Source organism: Homo sapiens, chromosome 21 (genome assembly GCF_000001405.40).
Source record: "Homo sapiens chromosome 21, GRCh38.p14 Primary Assembly".
Lineage (NCBI taxonomy): Eukaryota > Metazoa > Chordata > Mammalia > Primates > Hominidae > Homo > Homo sapiens.
Genome location: NC_000021.9, coordinates 22434684 through 22441779, shown reverse-complemented (window position 1 = coordinate 22441779; position 7096 = coordinate 22434684). Strand labels below are relative to the sequence as shown.

The window sequence follows — 7096 nt, the reverse complement described above, 5'->3', positions numbered from 1 at the left end:
ATAGAAAGAGTTGTAACAGAATAATAAATCTAAGTCATGTCACAACTAGGTTATAAGAGCTTACATATTTAGGTTACCAATCTATGAGGAATATGCCACAGACTTGGTATTTTGGTAGTTTTACTGAAGCCGGAACATAGATATGAGAAACAAGAGATGCAAACAGAATACTCTCTCACTACTACTTTTATTTGCACTCTCAGTTATTCTTACTTTTTATTTTTCCATCTTTGTCCTCTTTTTATTTAGAGGTCTTGTTGTCTGCAAGATAGGAGTGCTTCCAAAAGAGAACACAACAAAGGTTTGATTGAACTAGAAGCTGATATTTTGTCCTACCTGTTCTGATATCTTCCTGTTCATCTGGCTATCTGTGGTTCCATATGGCCATGGTGGTGATTGATCCTGAATATCATAAAGAAATGAGACTCCTATGGGGTAACGGGTGTATGTTGGCAAACCAGAACATTCTCTAGAGCACCCAGATATGACTCCAATAATTGATGGGTTTTCGTGTCTTTCCTTTTAAGGAAAAGAATGATCTTTTGTTCACTTATGCAATTATACTTGGAACATATACATGATTTTATTATGATTGTTTCTATACTTTAATGTAGATAGAAAGGTGTGTTTCAAAGCTGATCATCCAGAGAGGTAGACTGGTTGTGTGGAATGTTTTCTTTTTGTATTAAAACAGCTATTGCCCTTTTAATGTCTTGCTGTGTGTCAAGCACTGGACATCTAGGAACTACATTTCCTGGACTCCCTTGCCAGTAGGATTCCAATATAGATGATAGAATCAGAGGAGCATATAAAAGGTTTGGAAATTGGAAGGAAAGCAGACATCATTCATTTCCTACCCCTGCAGATATGGCAAGTGCTGAACACATTGAAGAAATGCTGTTTGAGTGGCTAATTCCCTAGAGTACAGCTCTTCTTAATGATGCAGGCAGCTGGACCACTGGAAATAACTTCCCTGATTTCTACACTTCCAGATTTCCTCCCATGATTCCTCCTGATAGCTGTTCCTTATCCTTTTCCAATACTTTTAAAGAAAACAAGTTTCCTGTATATATCCCATTTTTAAATTATTCTGTCAACCAGGCTGGAGTGCAGTGGTGCAACCACAGCTCAGTGCAGCCTCAATCTCCAGGGCTCAAGCAATCCTCCTGCCTCAGCCTCCTGAGTAGCTGGGCCTATAGGTACATGGCACCACACCCAGCTAATTTGTTAATTATAACTGATTTTTTTTTTTTTTTTTGTAGAATTGGTATGTCTTTATGTTGACCAGGCTGTTCTCAAACTCCTGGGCTCTATTAATCCTCACACCTTGGACTCTGTCCCACAGTTTTTTTTTTTTTTTTTTTTTTTTTTTTTGTTTTTTTGTTTTTTTAAAACAGGGTCTTGCTGTTTTGTCTAGGCTGGTTTCTAGTTCCTGAGCTCAAACAACCCTCTTGCTTCAGCCTCCTGAGTGGCTGGGACTACAGGCATACACCACTGCTTCTGGCTTAAATTTCACTGTAATTTAAATACCTGGAGTGTTTTCTGTTTTCATAGCAAAGACTTTATTTAAATATTAATCTATTTTAGGAAATTAATAGTGTCCTTTTGATTTCTGCATCATTTCTTTTTGAATTGCTTAGCAAAATCAAGTATCTCTAAACCTTCATGACCTGTATATTAAGATAATCCTTAAATTAAAATAAACAGGCTGGGCGCAGTGGCTCACACCTGTAATCTCAGCACTTTGGGAGGACAAGGCAGGGGGATTACCTGAGGTTAGGAGCTCAAGACAAGCCTAGCCAACATGGGGAAACCCCATCTCTACTAAAAATTAAAAAAAATTAAAAATTAGCTGGGCGCGTTGGCAGGCTAATTTAAAATATACATCTATAGTTATTCAGTATCTACCTTCTGATAATTTTATATTCCATTAATTTCAGAATAAGGACCTGAAAACATTGTATTTTCATTTTCTCCCATCCATTCTTTGTGCTATTGTTATCATACATTTTAAGTATGATGTGGGCTGGTCGCGGTGGCTCACGCCTGCAATCCCAGCACATTGGAAGACTGATGGGGGAGGATCAGCTGAGATCAAGAGTTTGAAACAAGCCTGGCTAAAATGATGAAACCCTGTTTCTACTAAAAATACAAAAATTACCCGGGTCTGGTGGCACATGCCTGTACTCCCGGCTACTTGGGAGGCTGAGGGAGGAGAATCGCTTGAACCCGGGAGGTGGAAGTTGCAGTGAGCCAAGATCGTGCTACTGCACTACAGCCTGGGCAACAGAGCAAGACTCTGTCTCAAAAAATAAATAAATTAATTAATTAAAACAATGAAACAACTAGATAAACAGCAAAGAGCCTTTCTAACCGGCAAAATTTGCTAAGTTACATGAGCCCTATTCATAAACATCTCCATTTTACTCCGTATGTCCGTGATTTTCAAACCTTTAAGCAAATCGGAATCATTTGAAAGGCTCGTTATAGCAAATTTCAGGGCCTTGTCCTCAGATTCATGTTTTAAAGGTCTGGAATGGGGCACAAACATTTAAATTACTGAGTTCCCGGGTAACGCTGATACTGCTGGTTCATGGGAGGCATTTGAGAATTACATCTCTCACTGTATTTTAATACTTCACTTTCACTTCCTTTTCAAATAAATATTGCCAACTGAAGAAAACGTCAAACTTTTAGAGAAATAGAGTTTGGCATGGCAGCAACTGTGGCAAAGCAGCTGCTGCTGCCAGTACAGCTGGAGACGTGAGCCCACGCTGGGGGCTGTCCATGGGCCCACACCCTCTCGATGAGTGGAAGTCCCGTTGGATCAGAGTAAGACGGACAGTAGCTTTGGTTGTGATTGTGGTGAGCCGGAGCCACCTGATCACTAACAAAAGACATCTGTTAACCAACAGCCGCCAGGGCTTTCTGGTGAAATATATAGCAACAAAGGAAGAAAAGAAACAAAATGGAAACAGTGCTTACCAGCACCTTAGAACAATGCTGCTCAGGGCCAGTCCAACACTGAATGTGTCTGCACTGTGAGGAGAATGTTCACAGAAGCCTGTTGCGTTGTGTGCATATTTATTCATATTTTTGTTAAATGTTAAATCATTTATCACAGTAAATCTGGGTGCATAGTACATAATTTCATTCCATTTGAGCTTCTTGAGTGTTTTATTTAAATGTCTGCAGAGCTGCTGCCCCTTTCTTGAACTATGAGTACTGCAATCTCTTAAATTCTCAATATGAGTAGAGCTTTTTGAGCTTTATATCTAAGGGGAACTGAACAAGCCTGTTTGGAAAATGCAATGAACATCAAGAAATCATCTTGCTGTGGAAGCATAATTATTTTTCTTCTGCCTGTATAAAAGATCTTTCCTTTTGATGTCAGTTTTCTTCCTTGTTTACACAAGTTCAACAATTCAAAAGGAAAACTTTTTTTTTCTGCTGTAGACGATGACTGTGATAAAAGAGAATCCATCAAGAAAATTCTCCTTACTGATCCCCAGAGTGTCAAAAATGCTCTACATGAAATCAAAATTATTAGAAGATTTGACATCGTGACATTGTGAAAGTGTTTGAAATTCCTAGTACCAGTGGAAGCCAATTAACAAACAATGTGAACTCTCTTACCAAACTTAACAGTATTTACATTTTTCAGAATTACATGGAGACAGACTTGGCTAATATGATGGAGGAGGGCCCTTTACTGGAAAAGCATGCCAGACTTTTCATGTATCAGCTGCTAACGTGGCTTAAGTATTCACTCTGCAAGTGTATTGCCCAGATATCTCAAACCAACTAATCTTTTCATTAATACTGAAGACATGATGCTGAAGATAGGGGACTTTTGTCTTGCACAAATCATGGATCCTCATTATTCCCATAAGGATCATCTCTCTGAAGGACTGGTAACTAAATGGTACAGATCTCCACATCTTTTACATTCTTCTAATAGTTATAGTAAAGCCATTGACATGTGGACTGCAGGCCACATCTTTGCTGAAATGCTGACTGGTAAAACCCTTTTTGCAGGTGCACGTGAACTCGAACAGATGCAGCTGATTTTAGAATCTAGTCCTGTTATACATGAGGAAGATCATCAGGAGCTTCTCAGTGTAATTCCAGTTTACATTAGAAATGAAATGACTGAACCACAGAAACCTTTAACTCAGCTGCTTCAGGGAATTAGCTGAGAAGCACTGGATCTCCTGGAACAAATTTTGACATTTATCCCTACAGATGGGTTAACAGCAGAAGAAGCGCTCTCCCATCATTACATGAGCATATATTATTTTCCAACGGATGAGCCAATTTCAAGTCATCTTTTTCATATTGAAGATGAAGTTTATGATATTTTGCTTATGGATGAAACTCACAGTCACATTTATAACTGGGAAAGGTATGATTGTTAGTTTTCAGTGCATGATTGGCCTATACATAACAACTTTGGTATTGATGAAGTTCTGCTTGACCTGAGAGCTCTGTCTGATATCACTGATGAAGAAGTACGAGTTGATCCCTGAAAATATTTGGATGGACATTCGGAAAAGCATAAAGTATCTGGAGGATCCAATTGCTCTACTGAGCCTTTTTGGCAGTACCCAGATCATCATAAAAACAAATAGGGATTTGAAGTGTAGTCATATTTGTAACTACAAAGCCAGGTCATCATCATATTTAGATAACTTAGTTTGGAGAGCGAGTGAAGTTAACCATTACTATGAACCCAAGGTTATTATAGATATTTCCAATCGGAAAGAATAAAGCAGAGAAAAATCTGATAAGAAAGGCAAGTGAAAATGTGAAAGGAATGGATTGGTTAAAGCCCAGATAGCGCTTGAGGAAGCCTCACAGCAACTGGTTGAAAAACAAAGGGAAAAAAATCAGGGGTTTGATTTTGATTCCTTTATTGCAGAAACTACTCAACCTAGTTCACAACATGAGCCTACTGATGTTGTTGAGAAATGAAATAACTCGAATAGGTCAAGGTCCCAACTAGAAATGAAAAATTTGATAACAAAGACAGTAAGCCAAGAAAAACAGAAAAAAGGAATGGCAAATTTGGCTCAGTTAGAAGTCTTGTACCAATCTTCTTGGGACAGCCAGTTTGTGAGTGGTGGGGAGAACTATTTTATCACAAATTAGTTTTGTTGTGAGGTAAGGAAGTGTGAAGGAGTTGAGGAGGACGACATTTACACTAGTTACTTAGACAAGTTATTTAACAGGAAAGAAGATACTGAAATACTAGAAACTGAGCTAGTAGAGGATGGGAAGCTTGGGGAGAGAGGAAATGAAGGATTTCTGAACAACAGTTTGGAGTTCCTCTTTAGCAAGCACCTCGAGTCCGTGGGCGTCCTGCAGCTTCGCAGTCCAGTTGGGTCACTACTTAAGTCAATACAGGCCACATTACCACCTTCTGCTATGGAATCTTCCCCTCAAATTCCTCATAAAACCTGCAGCAGCATTTTAAAACATGTGAACTAAAGCACTCAGCAAACATTTATCTTTGCATTCTTCATGAAATGTGTTTTGCCTTTATTTTATCACTAGTGTTTAAGTCATTTTTTACTTGAATCAGATGGTGTAATTTAGTAAGGATTAGCTCTTGGTTTTTAAAATCCAGACCTTATTTTCTACATATGAGGTAGTTTTCATTTTAACTGGCATGTCGTTTGCACACAAAAATAAGCAAAGAGCAAAATAATGCAATGCTAGAGGAGGCAAAAGAAATGCACTAAGACAAGTAAAAAACATCCTCTCGTAGAACAATGATCCGTTTTATAGGAAACAAATCTTACCTTGAAATTTACGCAGTGAGACTCTACATAATTGCCTGAAAATATCTATTTTTTCTAAAACATTTTTTATTCATGAATATTTTTTAAGTTTTTCACACTGTACACATTTCTTAAAACATATGATACCAGTAACAACTGAAAATGACTGCTGAATTGAGTACACATGTGTTATCTAGCTCAAGATAACAGAAGTATGTGGCAAAACATATACCACTCATAGTGCTTCACAATATGCACATCTATTTAGCCAGCATTTATTTTAGTAAACTATTCTTAATAAGACTCATTTACTGTTTATGAATATTCTGGTATGCATTCTTTATAGTGAAGTGTTAATATATCACATCTTATTTATTTTAGCAAATCAGTATATTTTCTGTATTTAATTATAAAAAGTAACTTAGTTTTTAAAATTTATTTGCAAATACACTTACTCCATCTGGCACTACAGCTTGTTGCCTACCTAACTGAATATATAATGTTAGCTCATCTTAAGCATGTCCATGTACTTAATTTACTTACGTGTTTATTTTAAGTAAACGATCACTGTATATAGGAATTTGTCTATGAAGAAATCACTGTATATAGGAATTTATCTATAAAGAAAAATTAGGAATTACTTTATTATAAATTACTCCTAGAAGTCTTGTGTTTATTTAAAAAGCTAATGTTAAAATTGTGTGTGTGGAAATAATTAAAGTCCATCATTATTGTAGTTTAAAAGTTGTATATGATACGACATTTTGATTTTACTGTATGTTTTTACTGAATGGTCTATTCCCCATCCCAAGGCAAACATGAATAAAATAAGATTAAATGTAGCATGTGGTATCACAGTCTCTTAGAATTTGTTTTGTCTATTTCATTGTATTGAATAGTCTGTATCTTTTGTTATCCTGTTTGAGGAAAAAGGACAAATAAAACATGGCCCACAAAAACAAAGCAAAGAAAAAAAGCTAGTTTTATCTGGAAGTCTTCCTGAGAATTATTCCTGAGGCCTACAGCCTAGGAGCAGTCCAAAAGAACCTCTCTAATGGGCTGGTTCTGTCAGAGGCATTTGAACCAAAGCAACTCCATCTTGAATAGGGGCTGGGTAAAATGAGACTGAGACCTACTGAGCTGCATTCTCAAATGATTAAGGCATTCTAAGTCACAGAATAAGATAGGAGGTCCGCACCAGATACAGGTCATAAAGATCCTGCTAAGACAACAGGTTGCAGTAAAGAAGCTGGCCTAAACCCACCAAAACCAAGATGGCGATGAGAGTGTCCTCTGGTGGCCCTCACTATTAC

At 37.4% G+C, this 7096-nt stretch overlaps 1 pseudogene; it reads left to right on the top strand.

The window, feature by feature from the left end:
• MAPK6P2 (mitogen-activated protein kinase 6 pseudogene 2) lies at positions 2713–6748 on the top strand (annotated as a pseudogene).